We start from the raw sequence: 27,825 nt of genomic DNA, 5'->3' as shown, positions 1-27,825 counted from the left end.
CTCTCATTTAAGAGGGACCCTCTCTTCATAAATTGTACAACATTAAAAACTCACCTGAACTTCTGGACTATGCTTATCCAAGTTGACAAATATGGGAACACCTAATTATCGCATGGTACTCTCCATTTTCCCTTTTGCATATCGAATCCTTTTGAAATTTGACAAGTAGCTTGGGCTGTTCAGAGGGAAGAAGCTATCAAAGTCCAAAGCAATATTCTGGCAGCTAAAATAGGCTGCAGTGACCTCACAATGGCGTTTTAGCAATGGCCCTGCAGGAGGCATTCAGTAATGGGCTACTTGGGCTAGACCCTCTCAGCTAAAGGCTAGGCCTAGTCTAGTAAAAAATGCAAAAGGAAATAGAGGCAATTTTCCAAGTAATTCAGGAGAAAAGCACTTTCATCTCAACTCTCAAGGTACAGTAATTGGCACAAACCTTTGGGCCCTGGCAGTGGAGACCAGGCCATTGGAACCAAGGTGGAGTCAGTCATGCAGGAAACGTGGAGTGCGGGCTGGGAGTGGAAAGGAAATCATGAGGAGGAAGGCACATTCTTGTTTCTCCTAAGATCTGGATGGGGCTCCACCCACTGCATGGATTTGCCCCTCTTCCAGTTGCATATGACCAACTCAACGCTCCAGTTTTGCTGAAAGAACATATCTAGTTATTTTAATTCATACAGCATCTTTCCAGTCATTACTTTCTTCACTTTAAAGTCAGCAATGGAGTTATTTCTGAACCTAGAGAGCAGTGAGCATGCAAAGTCAGAGAGGAGGGCAAACAACTCACAGCAATCATAATAAAAACTCTGCAGGAAAACGGCATCCTCCCCGGGCTGCCAACCAGAATTACATCAAACAATTTTAAAGGAACTAGGAATTTATTGTCATCAGTCTTCCCTCCCTGTGTGTCTCTGGCAAGATGTTTACTTATGGCTCAGCCTGAGTAATTGCACCAATTCATTAAAAATGAATAAATAAAACCCCTCCTTGGTGACTGCTTTATCATTCTGAAACCCAGCCTCCAGGAATAATTTTGCCAAGTTGAACACGGGCAGAAAAGGGAGGTGCTGATACAGTGCCCAGCTCCTGGCTCTGTCTTTTCTGGGATATACACACTCAGTCACTTCAGATAAATCATAAGGAATTGTACTTTAACCAGTGAGTAGCATGTTGTATGGGGAAAAGTATGGATTTTGGACACAAAGAGAAGGATGCTAAAAAAAATGACTTCAATTACTGTGTGATTTTTGATAAATTATCCAACCTCTCTGAATTTGAGTTTCTTTACCTACATAATGGCTGTTGATGAGTATTACTTAGTTAACACAAGGGAAGCACCTATCACAGGGCTAGAGAAAATATTTGTTCTTAGTAAATGTACCTTCCTTCACATTAGTAAATATATCTCTTTCCCTTTCCTCTTGTTTTCTAGGGCTTGCTACGTAGGCCAGAACTACACCAACACGCTTTGATGCTGAAGCAGAATTTGGTACAAGGTGGCTGTAAGTCAGATCTCCTGCTAATTGTGTGAAACTGTTTATGTTGATTCATCTAAGCAGCTGGTCTTTTGAGAGAGATGCAACAGACCAAAGAACAAAGACAGAAGCTTGAGAAGCCATGTTAGGTACAGTTTCCCTTAGCTCCTACTCCTCTTTCCTCCACTTACAAGTAGTTGAGCAGCGTAAAAGCAGAGGTATAACACAGCTCTTATCTTTTTAGTCTCTCAATTTTAGACCCCCCGGTTGGGTTACTGTTAAACAATAAGGTTAACTCTGCAACCTGAGGTGACTTCTTTTATTTGTTTTGCTATTTGTTTATTATAAGTCAAGTGATGTCTATGAAAAAAATGAAAACAATACAGAAAAGTAGTGTGAGGGAGAAAGTGAAAGCCTTCTGAAGACCCATTCCCTTCTCCCTCTACCAAAATGCTGACCCCACACACACAACAGATTTGGAGTCTGACGTCCAGACTGAGGAGGTGACATATTGAATTGCATGAACTGCACTTCTTTGGAAGCCAGTTTCACCATTCAGAAGCCTCAGGGTTGTGATATTTGGTGGGAGATGGTTCTAATGGAAAGTGAATTTTAATCTTTATATTGGCTGAGGCTGCCTTGAGGGGCCTTGATAGCCACTTCTGTCACTCCTGCATAAACCCCTGTGAATATGCCTTTTGGTTCCATTGCAAACAAATTTAGACTCTGTAGAAATTACCAAAGTATTTTTATTATGATATATTAGTTAATAAGGTCTTTCTAACTCCTAAATTTCTTATTACCTTTTTTGAGAGTTACCCAGTAAGAATAATAGCTATCACTTTTTCAACCCACATGATACTCCTCAATTCACTGAAACAGTAAGTTAAAAAGTTTTCCAGTCCTTTAAGGATGGTCAGCAAATAACCAAGATGTTAAAAGAAACTGCTTGAATTCTGTATTTATTATTCACATTTAATGCATACAAAGAAACTCCAGCAATCATCTTCCTATGGATTTTTCTTTCTCCCTTTTCCCTCTTGGCCACGCTTGTCAACTTCATCCTACTCATGAGATTTCTCCCTACAGCAAATTCAAAAAGATGAAAAAAAAACCTACTAAAAAATCATCGTTGGTTCTCCATTACTCACAAAAGTCCAAATGCCTGTCATCCAGGCCTCTTTAGCCTTCTTCTTCCCTTAATTGCCTACATGGATGTAGCACAAGTGGGGCTGCTTCCACAACACTCTCCCAGGATCTTTGCCTCTAAGTATGGACTCTGGTGACTTATTCTATCCACTGAGAATGATCTTCACTCATCTGCCTGAGATATCTTATTTATCTGTATCAGAAATAAAAATGTTTTTTAAAAAAAAAACTACAGAAGCAAAGTGACTGTAGCTACTCCTGCTTTGAATGATGGTGTGGGGATGACAAGATGTGAGATGTAGCATTGGCAACATTCATATTTGAAGAAGACAGTCCTATCAAAGCATTTGAGCTCAGATTAGGAAAACCCTGTTATTTCAATATTTTGTGCTGCTGAAGTATGCAGTCCTAAAACAGAAATTTCATGGTTTAGTATAGTCATAAATTACTTAATGGCGAGAATATGTTCTGAGAAATACATTGTTAGGTGATTTCATCATTGTGTAAATATCATAGAGTGTACTTATACAGACCTAGAGGGGAGAGCCCGCTACGCATCTAGACTGCATGGCATAGCCCATTGCTCCTAGGCTGCACACCTGCACAGCATGTTGTACTGAATACTGTAGGCAACTGTAACACAATGGTAAGCATAGATGCATCTAAACATAGAAAAGGTACAGTACACATATGGTATAAAATATAAAACTGATACACCTGTATAGTGCAGGTATATCTAAGTCAGCTTAGAATTGAATTTTGGGTAAGGTCTGCAGTGAATTGTTCTACAAGGCCTGGGAGCCTTTTGTTGTTTTTTGAGAGGCAGCCAAGGTGCAGTGGAGAGGAGAGCTTTGTAAGATCAGCAAGGACTTAAGTGGAGAGACTGTCTAGAGAAAGGCCCATTAGGGAATGTGGCTGAAAGACTGTTCATGACAGAGCTGTCTAATATTTCCTGTCACATTATCTGCAGTGTGGTATGTACAGTCAGCCTCTCCACCTTCCCAACGTTTTAGTAAAATTTATCCAACTCCCAGCCTACTGTGTGTGTAACTTCAGAAGAGAGAAGGAAGAGGCAGGGGCTGGCCAGTAGGGCAACATGGTGTGGAAGGGGAGAGCATGTCCTAGGCAGAGCTGCTCAAGGGACAGCAAGAATGCAGCAGTGGTTGGGACCCCTGTGAATCCCCGGAGTCAACAGAAATGATGGTGGGTTCCCTTTACATATATAATGGGCATAAACCAGTTTGAGTTAAATCTTAAAAACGCATGATAGTCCTGGAAAACTAAAGGACATGGATCATAAGCAAGAAGGTCATATGTGGGCAAAATATCCACTCCCAAAACTCCAACTGAGAGATCACATTTCCTACAAAGTAAAAAAAAAATTAAGGGATGATGGAAGGAAACAAGAGGAGGGCATGGAAGGAACTGCACAGCTGCAACGAGAAGAGGTGGCGGCTAACAGACACAGTATTTCGTGCGATGACTCTGTCAGCATAGCCTGATGAAGCAATGGTGCACTGCCTGCAGCAGCTCCCTTCATAATCCCTGCACTGGGTTTCCTTCCCATCGCTCCCCTATCCCCACCCATGTCACAAAATCCCCAGGCGTAGCAGTCCTTGTTGTCAAGGAGAGGTTTTGGGCCTGGCACAGTGGCCGATGCCTTAATCCCAATGTTTCGGGAAGCCGAGGCAGGATGATCACTTGAGCCCAGGAATTAGAGACCAGCCTGGGCAACATAGTGAGATCCCACCTCTACAAATAATAAGATAATTAGCTAGGGGTAGTAGTGCATGCCTGTAGTCCCAGCTACTCAGGAGGCTGAGATGGGAGGATCATTTGAGCCCAGGAGTTTGAGGCTGCAGTGGGCTATGGTCGAGCTACACTGCACTCCAGACTGGGCAACAGAGTGAGACTGTGTCTCTAAAATTATAATAACAATAATAAAAATAACAATAATATGGAGAAGTATGGGAAGAAGGAGGGGTTCCAGAGCTGTAAAAAGTTTCATGTTGAGGTTGCCCAAATGTATTTTCTCAATGTTCTGCTATTTCAAGAAATGCTCAAAAATTCTCGGATGTTTGCTAAAAGAGAACTTTTGAACTATTGGGCTTCACAATAATGATATTCCATCCATATTTTCCTTCATATAAAGTTGATATTAAATATGTATTTAGGGACAGGTGGCTCCAAGGTCTTAGTTGTGATTACCCTGTGAAGAGTATAATTTTTCTAATCAAAACTGACATTTCAACTTATAATTGGAATCCTTCTAAATTTTCATATAGTTTCCCTAAGTATTTCTCCATTAAGTTGTTATAGACTATACATTCAATCGGAAATTTCTCTTGACCATGTCTATGCATTTATCATTTAAAGTAATATGAGTCTAGAAGCCTAGGATCATAGAGTTCAAAGGGCCCATAGAGATTATCTAGTTGACACCTTTCATTCTATATATGAGGAAATCAAGGCCCCAGAGGCAGGGAATTAAATTTTACTCTTCTCACTATATTATCATCTTTGGGCTTAACTAAAAATAATAACCTCTCAAATAGAACCTATAAATTCAAAACCACTCAGTATTTGACACAGTGGTAATTCATGAGGATGATGACAATTTTATTTTTAGCCCCATTCTTCACCCCTCCTTATGGTCACACACTTTGACATGTGACTTTTCAGTTCCTCTCAGGAAAAGGATGGAGAATATTTCCCTGATCCTTCAAGTTTAACTTTAAGTTTAGCCAAGTGATTTATGCTGTTCAATAAACTGAGGTGGAAGAGACAGTGAGGGAGCCATATGCAAACCCAGACCTTCCAAAGTCTGTGGGTTTCGGCTTGCTGTCTGGGGCCATGCCCATCACAATGAGAAGAACATTTCTCTTCTAAATCATTGATCCAAGGAAGATGAGAGGCACATGAAGCATGGCTTTCCCATGCAGCCCACAGATGTGCAGTGAGAAGCTGAGCTGCCCAGCAACTTGGGCTTAAAGTAAAACCACCCAGCCAAGCCCAGCCATCCTGCTGATATATAAACAGTCATAAATGACGGTGGGTTTAAGCCAGTGAATTTGAGTATACTTTGTTGTGAGCAATAGCAAGCCATACAATGATGAATCATTCATAACCTCCAAATCTATTTTGAAATTATTGTTAACAGCTTTTAATTGCAACATGGCTTATTTTCATTCCATGTTATATACATTCTGGGATGAATTTTACCCAAAATCAGTTAAAGTGCTGCACTGAGTCATTCCTGTGCTCAAAAACAAATGCTTCAGATGCTTCCGAGTGCCTGAAAAACAAGTTTGAGTTCCTCAGTCTTGCTTTGAGCCTTTGCAGATTAGCTCTCACTGTCTCCTACAGGTTTCCTGCCTTCAGCTGGACCTCCCTGGTGTGTACGTGTATATAAAGTATGGATTTTGGAGTTATGAGTATGAATTAAAATATTGGGTGTCCTCACTTTCTTGTCATTTAATTTTGGGCAAATTCCTTCACCCCAGCCCCAAGTCTCATTTTACCTGCAACGCGGAGCCAATTACACCTCTATCGTTCAGTTACTACGAAGATCCACCTAGGTGGCATATGGAAAAAACCTGCCTTAGAGCTTAGCTTTAGGCAGGAATGAGGGTAGGGAGAGAAGAGAGAGCAGCTATTTCCCTTTTTCCTTTCTTCCTGTCTCCACTCTTGGAGGGTAATACCCTAAATCCCTACTCTCTACCTAGGAGAGCATCAGTAGTAAAACTCGCAGCCTCTCTGATGCCCACATTCCTCACAGAGGAAAGGGCAATGGTGAATGTTGCTAGAATTTGGCATCCATTGAACCATTTTTTTGGTGGTCATGGTGATGGTGCCTACAGCCAGACCAGGTGCACGTTTCCTTTTTCACTCTCAGTACTCTGTCAAACACGAGCCTGTTATTGAGAGGTAACTACCTCACTTCACTTCCTGCCCCTAAATGAATATGTAAGACTTTTTGAGGTCCTCCTTCCTCCAGCTGAGTGGACACAGAAGTTTTCAGTCCATTTTGCAGGCCCAGTAGGATTCAGAGTAGAAGGTAAGAAGCTTATTTCAGCCTTGACTCTAAGACATGGTGTCCAGTCCAACTCTCTATTCCATTCAACTACTTTCTTTTGTGTACGATCCACTGGTGGGCACTCAGAGGAGAAGAGGGCTTCCTTTTCCCTCTTCTTTGCATCTCTCTAAATTCAGCCTGTTCAAAATCTAGCTGCAATTGTGGTCTCTGATTCTTTGCCTTGAAACTGCAATAAGCCTAATCTCTGTATAATTCATGTGGCTTTTGTGTAATTAGCCACGTTTTCACGTTGACATATTATCTCCTCTTTCAGTTGATTCAGTTGATTCTATATGTACCTTTATCAAGGCTAACATAGCACCTGTCACAGGTAAATGTCCACAAAATATTTAACTTATTTATGAATAATCTTTTCTTGTGAATTCATGCCTATTGTCCTATCCAAGAACAGACTATACAGATGAACTTGTAAGTGACCCTTGGCTTTGACCAGTAATGTTGGTTTGTTGTTTTAACTAATATTAGAATTAAAATCGCTCACCTATTGCACAATGGCCTGTGTTTGCTGCTACCTGTCCACCTTTCTTGCTTCTCTTCTCCATTCCTGTTGCCCTGCCTTCCCTACCTCCCACCATCACCATATAGACAGTACATCTCCAGATCCTGAACTAACATAGTTCTCTGATCACACCTCTTTTTTCCCATCTTCCTTAATCTGTCTTTAAGGCAATTTCCCTTAACTGTTGATTTATTTAATTTCGTGGGGCCTATGAATTGACCCTCCAAGCTCTGGTTATTTATTTCTTCTGCTATACTTTCCTTAAGTAGAAAACAAGTAAACCTCTGATTTTTGTTTGTTTGTTTACAAAGCAACTAAAATTTTGCTAGCTACTAAAATTTAGTAGCAACTTTTCAGTAGACAAAACAGTCTATAGACTGTTGGGTATGTCTATAGACAATCTCTGTAGACTGGCTAGCTGCTGAATGCAACGCTAGGTAAATATTGACCAGGTTGGATTGCATAGGGTTAACATAAGCAGTGGTTCTTTTGCAAAGAAAGACAGGGAAATTGGAACACTAAACTTTAGCAGTTGCCAAATGAAGGGCCTCAGGAATCTGAAATGCCCTCTCCCTGACTCTGTCAAGAGGCTCATACTGTTACAAGCACCAAAAAATAAAAATTTCTGTCAAATGTGACGTTTGATCTTGTAGACTAGCTTGTGCCTGACCTGCAGTGGTCAGTGGAGCATGACATTGTAAATGGAGGACAGCAAGAGAGACTGTGTACCCAAAACCTGAAGCAAAGCCTGTGTTTGGAAAATACAGGATGGAAAAAATATATCACCATGGCAACAAATTACTTTTATATTCACATAAAGCAAAAATAGATCTCTCTCTCTCTCTCTCTCTCTCTCTCTGTTTCTCTTTCTTCCTCTTTGAGAAGCACATATTTTAACGTGCATGGAAGATTAAAGGTGATATGCAGAAACAGCTGCACGAATATATTTTCATTTTTCTTTAGTTTATACTAATGTTGGTATCAATCTGAAAGACAGAATTTTGATCTGAAAGTATCTCAGTTTCAGAGAGCAGGAGCAGCTTAGAGGAGAAATGTATAATTTAGTCAAAAGCTCTATTTTGTCTTAATATAATGATGGCAGAATTGAGCTTATCAAAACAAAATGTTCCTGGCATCAGTCACCAGGAAAAATAATATTCCTTCATGTATTTTTTCTTTCTATTTGAAAAGCCCCAAAATGTTTTGCCCCTCCTTTTAGCTAACAAAGAAGAATTCTTCAGCTTAAATTACATGAAGGTAAATGATATTTTCAGGAGTTATTAGATCAGGTTCTTCTTTTTCTTTAAATTCCCAGGACTTGTTGCACAGCATGGTGACTGCTATGGAACATTGGTATGGAGTTTCAGGAGAAATAAGGGTGATAGGATCCAGCTCCCCCCAGCAGAGTTCTTGGATGTCAAGTCCTGATAAATCCCCGCCGCCTCCTGGGTCCAAGCTCGGGTACCACTAACTTGTCCCAAGAGAGTGGGGAGTGAGACCTGTAAGTCAACTAATATAAGGTAGATGTTTTTGATGATACATTTTATCACATTTTATTTCTCTTAAAACATTATTTTCAACACTTAACAATAATCCTTATTTCCTTTGTGAAATCTAAGGAAGATATCTCATAAGTTTCTTCCCAAAGCCAGCAAACTATTTGATCAACCCTGTGAAACTGTCACTTCTTGTAAAACAAAAATGGCCCAATATTAGCAGTTGCATAAGGTTTTAACTTAGTAGGTATCATATCCACTATAATGGTCATGGGACTACCCCCCAAATCACTGAAGTTATTGATGATTCACTTCAAATTCATCACCATCTACTTTTTGCTTTCATAAATGAGAGGTGAAAAGCCTTCACGTTTAGCGATCAGTTGTGTTTCTACCCATCTTACTAGGTACAGCCAAATCTAAACTCATTATCACCACTCACAACCTAGCAAGCTTACTTCTCCTGGAATGTCTGTTTCAGCAATTGGCACTCTTACAGAAAAACCTGGGAGCAATCCTCAATTTCTCTCTCTCTTTCCTTCAGCGCTCAGCACTTACAGTCACTGAGTTTCATCAACTGCAACCTTCCTTTCTCAGCCTCAATGATACTGACTGCTGCTATAATTCAGGACTTTATCACACCTGCATTAGTGCGCTAGTCACACAAATAGTCTCCACATTTGCATCTCTTCATACACAAATTCAAATTCCACTGCTGCCAGAGTAACTTTGCAAATATTACAAATCTAAATAACCCTTTCCTCATCAGAAATTTCATGTTTCCCTATCGCCTAAGGATAAACTCTCAATAGCTAATTGTACCCACCTGGGAGCACCATGCACTTTTATTGTTGGCTTCATTTGCTTATCCTGGCTACCAACCCTGGAATAGCTTACCTCACCCTATTCCATCTTGCCCAGCTTGGAAATCCCTAATCATCATTTAGGACCAAACCCAGGGGCCATGAAAACTTTTGGCGGGGAGAAGAATGAGCTTATTTCATTTGTTTATAGTTTATTTCTATTTCTTCGGCCTACTTATAATCTTCATTTATTTATAGTAAGTTTTTGGACATCTTCTTATTTATTTACAACAGCTTATTAGATATATTTTGTGAATGTGTTTTTCAATTTTATTTACATTCAGATATCTATAGAATATACTTGCATATATAGTATGGCTTAGGGATCAAACTATTTTTTTCCCAAATAGAGTTACTTGTCCTGAAGCCATCTTTTCTTTATGGTTCTGATAAAAGTTTTATAGAAATCTCTAATATTTTTCATTGATTTCCTCTGTCTACATAAATCAAACTATACCAATAATGCTTTAAAATGTTTTTTAGTATTTGATAAAACAAATTCTTACTACTTGCTCTTAACTACCTAAATTTCCTTCATTATTTTCCTGCATCTTCTCTTCTAAGTAAACTTTAGAATCAGTTTATCAAATTTCATTTGGGTTTTAATTAGAATTGCTCTCTATGTATAGAGTAATTTGTTTTTGTTTTTTAATTTATTATTATTATACTTTAAGTTTTAGGGTACATGTGCACAATGTGCAGGTTAGTTACATATGTATACATGTGCCATGCTGGTGTGCTGCACCCCCTAACTCGTCATCTAGCATTAGGTATATCTCCCAATGCTATCCCTCCCCCCTCCCCCCACCCCACAACAGGCCCCAGAGTGTGATGTTCCCCTTCCTGTGTCCATGTGTTCTCATTGTTCAATTCCCACCTATGAGTGAGAATTGCGGTGTCTGGTTTTTTGTTCTTGCGATAGTTTACTGAGAATGATGATTTCCAATTTCATCCATGTCCCTACAAAGGACATGAACTCATCATTTTTTATGGCTGCATAGTATTCCATGGTGTATATGTGCCACATTTTCTTAATCCAGTCTATCATTGTTGGACATTTGGGTTGGTTCCAAGTCTTTGCCATTGTGAATAATGCTGCAATAAACATACATGTGCATGTGTCTTTATAGCAGCACGATTTATAGTCCTTTGGGTATATACCCACTAATGGGATGGCTGGGTCAAATGGTATTTCTAGTTCTAGATCCCTGAAGAATCGCCACACTGACTTCCACAATGGTTGAACTAGTTTACAGTCCCACCAACAGTGTAAAAGTGTTCCTATTTCTCCACATCCTCTCCAGCACCTGTTGTTTCCTGACTTTTTAATGATTGCCATTCTAACAGGTGTGAGATGGTATCTCATTGTGGTTTTGATTTGCATTTCTCTGATGGCCAGTGATGGTGAGCATTTTTTCATGTGTTTTTTGGCTGCATAAATGTCTTCTTTTGAGAAGTATCTGTTCATGTCCTTTGCCCACTTTTTGATGGGGTTGTTTGTTTTTTTCTTGTAAATTTGTTTGAGTTCATTGTAGATTCTGGATATTAGCCCTTTGTCAGATGAGTAGGTTGCAAAAATTTTCTCCCATTTTGTAGGTTGCCTGTTCACTCTGATGGTAGTTTCTTTTGCTGTGCAGAAGCTCTTTAGTTTAATGAGATCCCATTTGCCAATTTGGCTTTTGTTGCCATTGCTTTTGGTGTTTTAGACATGAAGTCCTTGCCCATGCCTATGTCCTAAATGGTAATGCCTAGGTTTTCTTCTAGGGTTTTTATGGTTTTAGGTCTAACATTTAAGTCTTTAATCCATCTTGAATTAATTTTTGTATAAGGTGTAAGGAAGGGATCCAGTTTCAGCTTTCTACATATGGCCAGCCAGGTTTCCCAGCACCATTTATTAAATAGGGAATCCTTTCCCCATTGCTTGTTTTTCTCAGGTTTGTCAAAGATCAGATAGTTGTAGATATGCGGCGTTATTTCTGAGGGCTCTTTTCTGTTCCATTGATCTATATCTCTGTTTTGGTACCAGTACCATGCTGTTGTGGTTACTGTAGCCTTGCAGTATAGTTTGAAGTCAGGTAGCATGATGCCTCCAGCTTTGTTCTTTTGGCTTAGGATTGACTTGGCAATGCAGGCTCTTTTTTGGTTCCATATGAACTTTAAAGTAGTTTTTTCCAATTCTGTGAAGAAAGTCATTGGTAGCTTGATGGGGATGGCATTGAATCTGTAAATTACCTTGGGCAGTATGGCCATTTTCACGATATTGATTCTTCCTACCCATGAGCATGGAATGCTCTTCCATTTGTTTGTATCCTCTTTTATTTCTTTGAGCAGTGGTTTGTAGTTCTCCTTGAAGAGGTCCTTCACATCCTTTGTAAGTTGGATTCCTAGGTATTTTATTCTCTTTGAAGCAATTGTGAATGGGAGTTCACTCATGATTTGGCTCTCTGTTTGTCTGTTCTTGGTGTATAAGAATGCTTGTGATTTTTGTACATTGATTTTGTATCCTGAGACTTTGCTGAAGTTGCTTATCAGCTTAAGGAGATTTTGGGCTGAGACAATGGGGTTTTCTAGATATACAATCATGTCATCTGCAAACAGGGACAATTTGACTTCCTCTTTTCCTATTTGAATACCCTTTATTTCCTTCTCCTGCCTAATTGCCCTGGCCAGAACTTCCAACACTATGTTGAATAGGAGTGGTGAGAGAGGGCATCCCTGTCTTGTGCCCCTTTTTCAAAGGGAATGCTTCCAGTTTTTGCCCATTCAGTATGATATTGGCTATGGGTTTGTCATAGATAGCTCTTATTATTTTGAGATACGTCCCATCAATACCTAATTTATTGAGAGTTTTTAGCACGAAGGGTTGTTGAATTTTGTCAAAGGCCTTTTCTTCATCTATTGAGATAATCATGTGGTTTTTGTCTTTGGTTCTGTTTATATGCTGGATTACATTTATTGATTTGCGTATATTGAACCAGCCTTGCATCCCAGGGATGAAGCCCACTTGATCATGGTGGATAAGCTTTTTGATGTGCTGCTGGATTCGGTTTGCCGGTATTTTATTGAGGATTTTTGCATCAATGTTCATCAAGGATATTGGTCTAAAATTCTCTTTTTTGGTTGTGTCTCTGTCCGGCTTTGGTATCAGGATGATGCTGGCCTCATAAAATGAGTTAGGGAGGATTCCCTCTTTTTCTATTGATTGGAATAGTTTCAGAAGGAATGGTACCAGTTCCTCCTTGTACCTCTGGTAGAATTCGGCTGTGAATCCATCTGGTCCTGGACTCTTTTTGGTTGGTAAGCTATTGATTATTGCCACAATTTCAGCTCCTGTTATTGGTCTATTCAGAGATTCAACATCTTCCTGGTTTAGTCTTGGGAGAGTGTATGTGTCGAGGAATTTATCCATTTCTTCTAGATTTTCTAGTTTATTTGCATAGAGGTGTTTGCAGTATTCTCTGATGGTAGTTTGTATTTCTGTGGGATCGGTGGTGATATCCCCTTTATCATTTTTTATTGCGTCTATTTGATTCTTCTCTCTTTTTTTCTTTATTAGTCTTGCTAGCGGTCTATCAATTTTGTTGATCCTTTCAAAAAACCAGCTCCTGGATTCATTAATTTTTTGAAGGGTTTTTTGTGTCTCTATTTCCTTCAGTTCTGCTCTGATTTTAGTTATTTCTTGCCTTCTGCTAGCTTTTGAATGTGTTTCCTCTTGCTTTTCTAGTTCTTTTAATTGTGATATTAGGGTGTCAATTTTGGATCTTTCCTGCTTTCTCTTGTGGGCATTTAGTGCTATAAATTTCCCTCTACACACTGCTTTGAATGTGTCCCAGAGATTCTGGTATGTTGTGTCTTTGTTCTCCTTGGTTTCAAAGAACATCTTTATTTCTGCCTTCATTTCGTTATGTACCCAGTAGTCATTCAGGAGCAGGTTGTTCAGTTTCCATGTAGTTGAGTGGTTTTGAGTGAGATTTTTAATCCTGAGTTCTAGTTTGATTGCACTGTGGTCTGAGAGATAGTTTGTTATAATTTCTGTTCTTTTACTTTTGCTGAGGAGAGCTTTACTTCTAAGTATGTGGTCAATTTTGGAATAGGTGTGGTGTGGTGCTGAAAAAAATGTATATTCTGTTGATTTGGGGTGGAGAGTTCTGTAGATGTCTATTAGGTCCGCTTGGTGCAGAGCTGAGTTCAATTCCTGGGTATCCTTGTTGACTTTCTGTCTCGTTGATCTGTCTAATGTTGACAGTGGGGTGTTAAAGTCTCCCATTATTAATGTGTGGGAGTCTAAGTCCCTTTGTAGGTCACTCAAGACTTGCTTTATGAATCTGGGTGCTCCTGTATTGGGTGCATATATATTTAGGATAGTTAGCTCTTCTTGTTGAATTGATCCCTTTACCACTATGTAATGGCCTTCTTTGTCTCTTTTGATCTTTGTTGGTTTAAAGTCTGTTTTATCAGAGACTAGGATTGCAACCCCTGCCTTTTTTTGTTTTCCATTGGCTTGGTAGATCTTCCTCCATCCTTTTATTCTGAGCCTATGTGTGTCTCTGCATGTGAGATGGGTTTCCTGAATATAGCACACTGATGGGTCTTGACTCTTTATCCAATTTGCCAGTCTGTGTCTTTTAATTGGTGCATTTAGTCCATTTACATTTAAAGTTAATATTGTTATATGTGAATTTGATCCTGTCATTATGATGTTAGCTGGTTATTTTGCTCGTTAGTTCATGCAGTTTCTTCCTAGTCTCGATGGTCTTTATATTTTGGCATGATTTTGCAGCGGCTGGTACCGGTTGTTCCTTTCCATGTTTAGCACTTCCTTCAGGAGCTCTTTTAGGGCAGGCCTGGTGGTGACAAAATCTCTCAGCATTTGCTTGTCTGTAAAGTATTTTATTTCTCCTTCGCTTATGAAGCTTAGTTTGGCTGGATATGAAATTCTGGGTTGAAAATTTTTCTCTTTAAGAATGTTGAATGTTGGCCCCCACTCTCTTCTGGCTTGTAGAGTTTCTGCTGAGAGATCCGCTGTTAGTCTGATGGGCTTCCCTTTGAGGGTAACCCGACCTTTCTCTCTGGCTGCCCTTAACATTTTTTCCTTCATTTCCACTTTGGTGAATCTGACAATTATGTGTCTTGGAGTTGCTCTTCTCTAGGAGTATCTTTGTGGCCTTCTCTGTATTTCCTGAATCTGAATGTTGGCCTGCCTTGCTAGATTGGGGAAGTTCTCCTGGATAATATCCTGCAGAGTGTTTTCTAACTTGGTTCCATTCTCCTCGTCACTTTCAGGTACACCAATCAGACATAGATTTGGTCTTTTCACATAGTCCCATATTTCTTGGAGGCTTTGCTCGTTTCTTTTTATTCTTTTTTCTCTAAACTTCCCTTCTCGCTTCATTTCATTCATTTCATCCTCCATCGCTGATACCCTTTCTTCCAGTTGATCGCATCAGCTCCTGAGGCTTCTGCATTCTTCACGTAGTTCTCGAGCCTTGGTTTTCAGCTCCATCAGCTCCCTTAAGCACTTCTCTGTATTGGTTATTCTAGTTATACATTCTTCTAAATTTTTTTCAAAGTTTTCAAATTCTTTGCCTTTGGTTTGAATGTCCTCCCGTAGCTCGGAGTAATTTGATCATCTGAAGCCTTCTTCTCTCAGCTCGTCAAAGTCATTCTCCATCCAGCTTTGTTCCGTTGCTGGTGAGGAACTGCGTTCCTTTGGAGGAGGAGAGGCGCTCTGCTTTTTAGAGTTTCCAGTTTTTCTGCTCTGTTTTTTCCCCATCTTTGTGGTTTTATCTACTTTTGGTCTTTGATGATGGTGATGTACAGACGGGTTTTTGGTGTGGATGTCCTTTCTGTTTGTTAGTTTTCCTTCTAACAGACAGGACCCTCAGCTGCAGGTCTGTTGGAGCACGCAGCCATGTGAGGTGTCAGTCTGCCCCTGCTGGGGGGTGTCTCCCAGTTAGGCTGCTCGGGGGTCAGGGGTCAGGGACCCACTTGAGGAAGCAGTCTGCCCATTTTCAGATCTCCAGCTGCATGCTGGGAGAACCACTGCTCTCTTCAAAGCTGTCAGACAGGGACATTTAAGTCTGCAGAGGTTACTGCTGTCTTTTTGTTTGTCTGTGCCCTGCCCCCAGAGGTGGAGCCTACAGAGGCAGGCAGGCCTCCTTGAGCTGTGGTGGGCTCCATCCAGTTCGAGCTGCTTTGTTTACCTAAGCAAGCCTGGCCAATGGCGGGCGCCCCTCCCCCAGCCTCACTGCCGCCTTGCAGTTTGATCTCAGACCGCTGTGCTAGCAATCAGTGAGACTCCTTGGGCGTAGGACCCTCTGAGCCAGGTGCGGGATATAATCTCCTGGTGTGCCATGTTTTAAGCCCGTCAGAAAAGCGCAGTATTCGGGTGGGAGTGACCCGGTTTTCCAGGTGCCGTCTGTCACCCCTTTCTTTGACTAGGAAAGGGAACTCCCTGACCCCTTGCACTTCCCGAGTGAGGGAATGCCTCGCCCTGCTTCGGCTCGTGCACGGTGCGTGCACCCACTAACCTGCGCCCACTGTCTGACACTCCCTAGTGAGATGAACCCGGTACCTCAGATGGAAATGCAGAAATCACCCATCTTCTGCGTTGCTCACGCTGGGAGCTGTAGACCACAGCTGTTCCTATTTGGCCATCTTGGCTCCTCTCTGTAATTTGTTGAAAGACAATTATTTCCCCCAGTCAATTTCCTTTAGAAAAGTTAACTGACCATAAATATGTCAGTTCATTTCTGTAGACTGTTATCACTCTGCCTTGATAACTGTGGCTTTATACCAAGTCTTGCAACCTGATAGCATAAAAGCTGCAATTTCATACTTGTTTCTCAAGAATGCTCTGACTTTTCTAGCTCACTTGCATTTTTATATACATTTTAGAATCAGCTTTTTAATCATTCAAAACGCCCTATTAAATTTTGATTGGGATTGTATTGAATTGTTCAACTAATTTGAAGAGAATTGATATTTTGACAAAATTGAGTCTTTCAACCCACAAGTATGTTTCCATTTATTTCAGTCTTCTTAAATGGTTCTTAGTAATGTTTTGTAGTTTTCAGTGTAGAAATCTTGCAGTTGTTAAATTTATTGATTTTTTTCCTCACAACCCTAAATTTTTAATGCTATTATACATCATGTTTTTAAATTTCATTTATATTTTTATGTGAATAGTTTATAGAAATTCAATTGATATATTCATATGATACAATTTGTCTTCTGTGATCTTGCTGTATTCACTTATTAGTCTTAATATTTCTGTTGCAGATCTCTCAGGATTTTCTAGCAATACAACCATGTGATCTCTGAATAAAGACAGTGTGTGTGTGTATACTGCATATATATGACATATATACATTTATATACTGCATAATGAATTTATACAATGATAAATAATGTAATAATACAATTCATTTTTCTATTTATTTATTCTATTTCTTACTTCATTAGCAAGGACCTCCAGGGCAATTTTGAATAGAAGTGATGAGAATGAAACCCTGTCTAGTTCCTGATTTTAGGGTAAAAGTGTAAACTATTTCACCATTATATATAGTTGTGGCTGTATGATTTCTGTAGACATACTTTATGAGACAGAGGATCTTTCATTCTATTATTGATTTTCTGGAAGTTTTTTTTCTTCTACCATGAATGGGAATTGAATGTTTTCATGTTTTTTTCTATACCACTTGAGATAATAATATAATGATTTCCTTTATCAGTTGTTCAATGAACTATGTTGATTGGTTCTTGAATACTAAACATATTTTGCTTCCTGAGATAAACTTCACTTTCAATACTGTATTCTAGGTGTTTAAAAAATATTTTATTCATTATATTTATTATTAAATATTTTAGACATCATATTATAGATTTTAATATTCAATGGTTACTTTAAATATAGTTCAATTTATTAAATTTAATGTGCTGGTTATTAAACCTTTTAAATTGATTATACATCCAAATAGTATGGAATATTTATTAAATATTCTATTTTTATTTTTATTCAAAATACTTTTAAAAATATTTTCCAGGATGTGATTGTTTATATTGCTAAGGATTTTTGCATCTGTATTAATGAGACACATTTGTCTCTCTTTTAAAAATGTCTTTGGTAGTCTTCTAGACAAATAAGAAAATGTTGTTCCTGCCTCTTTAATAATCAGCAGAGTCTGTGGAAGACTGGCATTGTTTCTTTCTTGAATGTTCCTTCGAATTTACCATTAATGCCATCCTTTAAGGAAAATTTCAATGTCTTTAACGGATATGGGGGTATCCAGACTTTCCATTTATTTTTGTATCCATTTCATGGGATTTGGTAAATTGCTTTTAAAGGAACTTGTCAGTTTCGTTTGAGTTATCTAATTTATTGCCATAAAGTAGTTCATAATATTTTGTTATTATCACTTTAATATCTAGGGGATCCCTGGTGAAGTCCTCTATTTCATTTCTATACTGGTAATTGTGTCTTCTCTCTTAGTTTTTTCTTTGATTAATTTTGCTAGGGGTTTATCATTGTTATTAATGTTTGCTAAACCTACTTTTGTTCTTGTAGATTTTGACTTTTGTTTGCTTGTCTTCTCCACTTTTAAAGTGTATTAAATTTGGACCAATAGACAATGATATATTTCTCTATTTAGATATTCTTTAATTTATCTCAATAATGTTTCATAATTTTCTGTGTAGAGATCTTGTGGCCATTAAATTTATTTTTGTATTAGTTTTTGTTATTATATATGGTATCTTTTTTACAATTAAAACTTATTCCTGATGAATTACAGAAATACAAATAATTTGATATTATCAACATATCTAAAGTGATGCTGGGAAACTCACTTTTAAATTCTCAGTTTATCTGTAGAATTTTTGGGTTTTCTACAGGCACAATTTTGTGATTTGTGAGTAATAACCTTTATTTCTTTGTTGACAACCCTTATACATTTAATATCTTTGCTTGCCTTACTGTTTATATTAGAATTTCTAATAAAATACTGAAATAAATGATGTTAGTAAACATGTTTGCCTCATATCAATCTCAAATGGAAAGTATTTACTATTGCACCATTATCTATGATGTTTACTAAAGGTTTTGAGCAGATATTTGTTTTCAAATTGAAGAAATCCCCTTTCCCTCCTAATTTGTCAGAGGAGTTATTTTTGAATAAAAACTTGGAGAAATTAAAAACTTGAATAAAACTTGAGAAGGAGGGAAACTTATGCAAGTGTGGAGAAAGGGCGTCATGTGAGAGAAAACAGTCCATGCAGGCCCTGGGATGGGAGTACACCTGAAATGTTTGAGGAACAGCAAGAAAACCATGGTTGCTGGAGACAGCTGGGAATCAAGAGGGGGCAGGAGAACATCATGGAAAAAGGATGGGGATTGGGAAGGACAAGATATGACTTTTGTATTAATACAAGCATTGAGATTTCTCTGTTGCTAATAGGAGTCGAAGATAGAAGGAGGGAGGCAGAAAACCTGAAATCATTCAATACCTCTATTTATAATACTGAAACAGTCAACATTGCAGAAATGTCCCCAAATTAATCCATAGATTCATTGTAATACTAATAAACATCCCAGCAAGGTTTGAGGGTAGAAATTATAATCTTATTCTAAAATGAATATGAAATTTGAAGACTAGCCAAAATAATCATGAAGAAGACCCATGTGGAAGCACCTCCATTGCCAGAAATCCTTAAAGCAAGGAAATACAGCACAGTGATGATGCAAGGATGAAAATATGAAACAATAAGCCAGAAGAAAATGGCCAGAAATAGACCCACATATACAGACATTTGGTTTGTTACAAGAATGCCTCTGCAAGGCTGTAGCAAAACAACGGTCCTTCCAATAACTGGTGTTGAGCCAGGTAGGTATCTGTGTAGGAACCTACTTCATACCATTCCCCAAAGCAATTTTTGATGAATTGAAGTCAAATTAAGAATGACAGCCGGGCGTGGTGGCGCATGCCTGTAATCCCAGCTACTCGGGAGGCTGAGCAGGTAAATCACTTGAACCCAGGAGGTGGAGGTTGCAGTGAGCCGAGATCGTACCATTGTACTCCAGCATGGGCAACAAGAGCAAAACTCCCATCTCAAAAAAAAAAAAAAAAAAAAAAAAAAAGGCAAAATCATAAGACTTTTGCAAGGCTACATAAGATAATATCTTTATGACCTTGGGATATGCCAGGGTTTTTTAAAACGGGACAAAAAGCATTAACTATAAAGGTAGAAATTGCCTTTAAATAAGTCATTAAAATAAGAACTTTTGTTCATCATAAGACACCCTCAAAGACTGAAGCCTATATATATGTATATATAGATATATATAGAGAGACAGAGAGAGAAAATATATATAGTGTATGTATATATCTCCATACAAATGTATATATAATATATATACTTCCATATGTGTGTATATATATACTCTTTAGTCTTTTATATATACATACATATATATATATATATGTATATATCTCCTAGTACCATTTACTCTTCTAAGTGTTGATAACTGATTTGATTTGTATCTTTTCATTGACTTTTTTTCTTCATAGGCTATGGTGTTCAAGGTAGCCTTTTGTTTACAGTAATAATTATCATAATAAATGTGACACTTCTAGTAACATACGAAGCATTCTATTTCATATACTTTTGGATATATTTTTGGATGAGTATACTAAATATGTTCTTTTTACAGCCCTTCATTTCTCAGTACATTATTAACAATTATTAATACTGGCCTATATTCAACCTCAATAGCTTAAATAACTGAAAAATCAGTTTTAAATGGCACCTTCAACTCTTGAGGTTTTCTTCAGCCAGTCACTCCTTCTCATAGTCTTTTTTGCTTCTGTCAATCACGAGCAGCACATAGTCTGGTAGGAAGACCACAATGGTCATGCCAATAAAAAATGACCATTAAAATTAAAGGCTTCTGACTTTTTAAAAAATCATCTCTTTCTCTCCCTGCTTTTGACCTCTTCCTGTCCATCATTACTCCTAAATGGCTGCTGCTTATTGGTTTCTTCTGAGCATAGCTTTGATAAATGGGACAAAATCATCTTTTTCTCTTGCCTCAACTTCCACAATTTGATTAAAATTCTGAAGATTGAATAGGGAATTTTATGAATGACCATCTATCATATACAAGATAACCTTGCTATTAGTAGCAGCGTGAATTCATTTGTTTCCTTTCATTATTATTGCTTGGCTGACTAAATAAAAGCTCTTTGGTTACAAATTGTTCCCTATAGAAAAAAGAAAATCAGGACTTGTTGAAGTAGATAAACTGAGATGATAAATTGTATAGCATGTGATGTGCTTCTCTTTAAAAAATAATAATAATGTGCCTATTTGTGTCATTCAGTCAGCAAAGATTTTTAAATGTTGGCTACGTATCAGGCAACTGAATTATGTGTTGGGAATATAAAGTAAAATAAGACACATTCCTGACCTCAAGGAACTTAGAGTCTAATGAAGAGTTGAAATAAGTACATAAGTGGTTATATTTTACTTTGGTAAAAGATATGATAGAGAAAGAATAAATAAATAAGATGGGGCCAGTTAGGAAAGGCTAGATGATGAAAAAGGGGAGTAGAGAGAGATCTCAGAGATGTTTCAAACACATTATATATTTTCAAATAGCTAGAAGGGAGGATATTAAATGTTCCCAACACAAGGAAATAATAAATATTTCATATAGTGAAGATGCTGATTACCCTGATCTGATCACTATACATTGCATGTATCAAAACATCATTATGTACTACATAAATATGTACAATTATTATGTGTTGATTTATAAATAAAAATAAAAAACTATTTTCTAAAAACAACAGAGGGGTGGTGGATTCTTGGTAGATGCCACATATAGGACTGTGGTGATGAGTTTATGTCCTAAGATGAAGAAGAATGACTATTCTAAAGTATCCTATTGCTGGATGTTATTAAGAAATGGCTTATATTTTAGAAAATTCTTTCTAAAATATAAAGATGGATTGAGAAAGATGGATTGAAGGGAGGTCAGACTGGGAACAAAGAAACTAGTTGAAAGATCCAGGTGAGAATAATAAGAGTGTTATACTATGGGTCTGGAAATGGAGAAGCAGGAGGAGCAAAACAGATGTCATAGTAAGTTAGCACAAGACTGTGCTAATTTATTCTAAAATGCTCCTAGGCTTCAGGTTTGCTAGGTGAGGGATATAATAATATGCTGGGAATTGGGTGTGGGTATGATACAATCAGTTTTAGACATGAAGAATTTGAAATACCTGTGAGACAACTAAGTGGAAGAATTTAGCAGACTTGAATAAAGACTTGGAATTCACTAGAGTAATCCTGACCAAAAATCTAGGTTTCTCGAGTTATTTGCATGCTGCCTAATAGTCGAAGCCCTGGATATTGATTATGTCACCCAGGAGGGTGTGAAAAGTAAGAAGAGTAGAAACTCAAAATGGGCCCTAGGGAGCGTCTGCTGTTAAGGCCTGAGTCAGAGAAAGAGGAACCACAGAGGACCACAAAGGAACAACCAGAGATGCAGTAGAACCTAGGAGACAGCTATGCCATGGAGATAGGAAGGGGAAAATTAATTCTCAAATATTACACAGGCCAAAAATCACATCTGACTTTCAAACAAAATTATGGACCAATAGGATTGGGGGATGCAACTCATTAGGTTTGGAAGTATTCAGGGTTGCTGAAAAGAGTAAAGGATGTAGAAAAGATGCAATAGATGAGAAACTAGGAAATGGAAGAACAAAAACAACTTGTTCAATTAGGATAGCACAAAACAAATGCAATTCTTTATGCCTGATCATTTGGTAAATTGGATAAAGGCAAAAACATTTTTGATCTTAGAACCATGAGGGAGTCTCGGGGCCTTTGGTGTCCCCGCCCTTTCTCTTTTAGGCGGGTCAGGTATTTTCATATCTACATATAGACACATTAACTGAGGCTCACAGAGTGATTCATGTGATATTTAGTTAGGTATAAAAAACATCACCCAACACATCACAATCAGGCCTTTGCCTATCCTTTTACCTCTCCTACCAGAAAAGAAAACACTGTTTACTGGTAATTGGTTTGGGAGTCTGAGCCATCTTGCTTGTTAAGTTTCAGGCCTGTTTCTTTTTGCATGCAAGCTTTAATTCTGAACTTGGAGAATTTTTAATGAAAACAGCCATATGTGACAAGGGTCATAAATGAATTATTTATTATATCAATTCCTGGCTGCAGTAGAGACTAGGTTTTGTTGTAGTAAAGTAGCTTTCAAGGCTTTTTTTAAAAAAAACCAACAGAAACGCCCCTTATAGTTAAATAATATAATACATAGAACCAATATATAAAACAGCATTCCAGGATATTAAACAATAATATTTATTAATATAAATGTACTTTATAACATTGAAATTATAGAATATATTTTTACATTGTATTTTTTAAAGTCACTTCATGAAGTTGTTTCAGTAAACACAAACAATTCAAAATTGAGATTATACCGGAAAGTTGAAGATAAATGAACCTGCAGCCAATATCTGTCATGGCTTTTGCTTACATAACTTGGAGAGAGTCCATATTCACACAGATAGGGAGATGCAAGTGGTGATTTTTTTTTTAAACAACTTACCTTGCATTATCACAATACCCTCTGCTTATATAGAGGTGGTTAAGGAAGCACTGCACAAACATGAATCCAGTAGATGGGACAGGATAACATATCAGTTGATTCCAATGTTGAGATGTGCTATGTAACACATTTTAAGAAGCATGTTGGTTTTATTTCTGATTTTGAACAGTGAGAATATATTTAAATATAATTTATAGTAAATTTCTGTCAGATCCCTGGAGTACATAATCTTTTGTGTAAAATAAAGCCTATTCAGGTCTCATTACAAGGTCTGCTAAGCCAGGGTGGAGCAGTGCTTTTTAAAGTAATAGAAATTTTTATAAAACCCTTATTGTTTTTAAATAAAACCTTTATTTCAGAATACACTAAAGTTGGAAAGGTAACAGAGCATTCTCATATATACCCCACATCCGATTTTCCTCATTATTAACATCTTCTATTGCTATGATAGATAGACCGCAGTTAATGAACCAAGACTATGCATTATTATTAGCTAGTCAATATTTATTCATACATCATGCATTAGTCACCGTGTTGCCTTAGGTTCCTCTTGCTTGCCACAGTTTCTCAGACTTTCATTGTTTTTGATGACCTTGACAGTTTTGAGGAATACTGGTCAGGAATTTTGCAGAATGTCCCTCACTTGGGATGTGTGATTTTTTTTCTCACGATTACATTGGTATTGTGAATTTTTGGAAGGAAGCCCACAGAAGTAAAGTGCCATTCTAATCACATCACAATCAACAGGACTCATCACTATTGCTAACCTTGACTACCTGGGCGAGGTAGTGTTTGTCAGGTTTCTCCTCTATTAAGTTACAAGTTTTTTCTCCCTTTTTCATGCTAAACTCTTTGGAAGGAGGCCACCATGCACAGCCCACACTTAAAAAGTGGAGAGTTAAGTTCCATCTTCCTAAGGGCAGAATATGTATGCTAATTATTTGGATTTAGTCTACACGGGGCATTTATTTCCTCACCCCCTTTTATTTTTCTAACCTTATTTTTATTGCTATATAATTGTTGTACATATTTTGGGGGTACATGTGATATTTTGATACCTGTATACAATGTGTAATGATCAAATCAGGGTAATTGGAATATCCATCACTTCAAACATTTATCTTTGTGATGAGAACATTATGAATCTTCTTTTCTAGCTACTTTAAAGTATAAAATACAATGTTGTTAACTATAGTTATCCTACTCTACTAATACTAGAATTTGTTTCTTCTATCTAACTGTATTTTTGTACCTCTTAACCAACTTCTCCTCATCTCTGCTCTCCCCGGCTTCCCTTCCCACCTCTGATAACCCCCATTCTACCCTCTGCTTCCATGAGATCCACTTCCACATATGAATGAGAACGTGCCATATTTGTTTGTACCTGGCTTATTTCACTTAACATAATGACTTCCAGTTCCATTTATGTTGCTACAAGTTACAGGACTTCATTTTAATATTCCATTGTGTATATCTGTTCCCAGATGGATAGTTTGTATTCCATAATTTTCTATATCAGTATGAGTTTGTGAATTTTTATTTCATATGTTTATAATCCAATGCTTCTTTCACTGGGAACCCTTTCAGTTACTTCCTACGTTCTTTGGTATACCCCATCATTGTGGGGTTTTCAACTACTTTTTGGCACTTTCTTATTTTCTTGCAGCACAAATTACTCCAAGTTCATCTCGAATATTTCCTGTCCTCATTCTACAATCAGTCGCTTCTCCAAAGAACCTTGGTTCATTTTATTAGAGAATAATTATCAGAAACCAAAATCTGGGGGCTAGGTAGGCTCTCTGCTCCCAGAATATCATTGCTTCTAGGCCCCCTCTGCTGACAGAGCAAGAAAATATATTTGTAATTCTACATGCATATACATTAAATTAATTTAGTTTTTGTTCAATTCTAGTATACATGTATAGGGGTTTCAGAATCATTAATCCACATACCTGTTGGGCAGCAACTTTATCAGCCACAGTGCAGTGCTTCTGTGTGCTTCTTTCAGCCTTTAGTCTCATAGATTCCACTCATTGTCAAAGTTACTTAGGTCAGCACCTTTACTCCTATGCCCATCAGTGAGCTTGTTTCGTACATTTGTAATATGGTGGGATAATTTTGCCACATTCTATATTCAATCCTGGGATTTCCAGACCTCTTAAGAGATATTTAAAGATTTGCATAAATTACTTTTTTGCTGTAAAGTTCTATGGGTTTTGACAAATACATTATGGCAAGTATCTACCATTAGAATATTATATGGAATAGTTTTACCAGTCTAAAAAAATTCTTTATGCTCATGTACTCAACTCTTTTCCTTTCCCCTATGGAACTTCTAGCAACCACTCATCCGTTTACTATCTCCATAGTTCTGCCTCTTCCATATAGTCATGTAATTGGAATCATATAGTATGTAGCCTTTTTAGACTAGCTTCTTTCACTTAGCAATATTAATTCAAGATTCATCCATACCTTGGCAGGTTTGATAGCTCAGTCTTTGCATTCTTGAATAGTTTCCACTATATGAGCATACTACAGTTTGTTCATCAATTCACCTTTGAAGGACGTCTTGGTTACTTTCAGTTTGAGGTGATTATAAATGAAGTTGCTATAATCATTTATACGAGGTTTTTAAGTTTTCAAATCAGTTAAGTAAATATCTAGTAGCATTACATTGCTGGATTATATGGTAAGACAATGTATAGCTTTACAAGAAACTTCCAAACTGTGTTCCAAAGTGGCTGTACCACTTCTCATTTACACTAGCAATGAATGAGAGTTCCTCTTGTTCCACATCATTGCCATCAGTTAGTATTATCAGGGTTTTGTTGTTGTTGTTGCTGCTGTTGTTTTAATTTTAGCTATTCTAAAGGTATATAGTGATATCTCGTTGTTTTAATTTGAAATATGCAAGTGATAAATGAAGGGGAACTTTTTATATGTTTATTTGGCACCTTTATTTCTTCTTCAGTACAGTGTCTACACTTTTGCTCATTTTTAATTAGTCTGAGCCTTTTTCATCTTTAAAATCTATTCTGATAAATCAAATAATTTGTATAGTTTTCCACTAATTGACATTGCATATTCTTACTTTCTTAAAATTTGGAGAATTGTTCTCGGATGTACTTGAGGTGGTCACTATTCTCTCATTTTGTAAAGTTAGCAAATACAGTCAGGTAAGAATCCTTAATTCATGACAAAAATAAAGACTCAGGGACCATCATTCCATGCTGGGGAAGAGGTAGAGGTTAGGGAAGGAAATAGAGTTGTTTAGCAGCAGAGAAAACAGCAGTCTGGGCCCCAGATGCACAAAGATGTGACTGCTAATGGGCTACTTGTGAGAGCCAGGGCAGTGTGTCCACACACAATCAAAGTGAGACTGGAGATGAGCAAGTGGAAAACAATGTTCCTTATTACTACAACAGTTTGCCTTAAGTCAAGTAAATAAAAAGAAAAAAAGAAGCATATCATGTGCTAACTTATTTTCTAGGCACTTTCATGATCGTTTCCCCCAAATGAAAGATTTAAAGCTTGTTTTGCGCCAGGATGATTTCTGCAGCCACGAGTGCAAATTCACCAGACCTTGGCCAAAAATCAGTGTCTTCTTCAGATACCCTCAGCCTCTGCACTCTTATTAGCCATGTGTGGTACCCACTGTTACTGCCAGTCCTGTATCTCGGCCCTTAGAGCACATGGCCTATGGGAAAGAACAAAATACAGATCTTGGTTTCCAGAATTACTATGCTGGAGAGACAATCAGAGGTGCCTTTGAGTCTTCTACTGGGATACAGCCTAGAAACAAAAAGAGAGGTTGCAGGTCACCTGATGTCAGGAGTTGCAGACCAGCCTGGCCAACATGGTAAAACCCCATCTCTACTAAAAACACAAAAATTAGCCAGGCGTGATGGTGCATTCCTGTAATCCCAGCTACTCAGGAGGCTGAGGCAGGAGAATCGGTTGAACTAAGGAGGCAGAGGTTGCAATGAGCCGAGATTGCACCACTGCACTCCAGCCTGGGCAACAGAGTGAGACTCTGTCAAAAAAAAAAAAAAAGAAGAAGAAGAAGAGGGAGAGGGAGAGGGAGAAGGAGAAGGAGGAGAAGGAGAAGGAGAAGGAGTTGAAAATGACTTTTATAGTCACCAGGTATTACGCCCTATGAGATGCAGTCTTCACCCTTCCTTTCAGTATCTCCCACAAAATGTGTTTCCAAGCCTCACTCGTTGCTAGGTATGCCATACTATCTCCCTTTCCAGATGTGGCTGCAAAAGTAGAGAAGACTGGGCAATATTCAGCGGTTTCAATGAAGGCAGAAATAAATCACCTCCATGACACTGCACTGATTTTTATCTGCTGAGCTTTAGCCATGTACTGTTCCCTCTGCCAGGAAGGCTCTCTCTGGTGAGCTATCCAAATGCTGCCATTCTGGGAAAAATCTGACCAAATCTCTCCTCCTTTAAGATATCTTTCCATAGGGATCTCTCAAATTCTCAAACTTTTATAGAACTTGCAGTTTAACCATTACTACAGTCTATTACTTATGTATATATATATATACACACACACACACAGTCTGCAATATTTGATATGTGTTGTCTTTGCTCTTTTATGAGACAG

The 27,825-nt window shown here is 37.9% G+C and overlaps 1 protein-coding gene and 1 long non-coding RNA gene across 2 annotated transcripts in view; one reads left to right on the top strand and one right to left on the bottom strand.

The window, feature by feature from the left end:
• Positions 1-262: 262 nt before the first annotated feature.
• On the top strand, positions 263-16,931 carry LOC105370156 (uncharacterized). Its single transcript, XR_007063753.1, has 4 exons — positions 263-413; positions 1,430-1,621; positions 8,532-8,736; positions 16,857-16,931. It is a non-coding gene; the product is annotated as an uncharacterized LOC105370156 (long non-coding RNA).
• A 6,611-nt stretch (positions 16,932-23,542) lies between these two features.
• Positions 23,543-27,825, bottom strand: part of RFC3 (replication factor C subunit 3) — a 159,229-nt gene continuing 154,946 nt past the window's right edge. Inside the window, exon 9 of the mRNA XM_011535175.3 lies at positions 23,543-27,003. Coding sequence (XP_011533477.1) covers positions 26,989-27,003 — 15 coding nt within the window. The 3' untranslated portion in view covers positions 23,543-26,988. The remainder of the gene's footprint in view (positions 27,004-27,825) is intronic.

This window comes from Homo sapiens, chromosome 13, assembly GCF_000001405.40.
Source record: "Homo sapiens chromosome 13, GRCh38.p14 Primary Assembly".
NCBI lineage: Eukaryota > Metazoa > Chordata > Mammalia > Primates > Hominidae > Homo > Homo sapiens.
The sequence above is the reverse complement of the archived record's forward strand: the minus strand, read 5'-3'. Positions and strand labels throughout refer to the sequence as shown.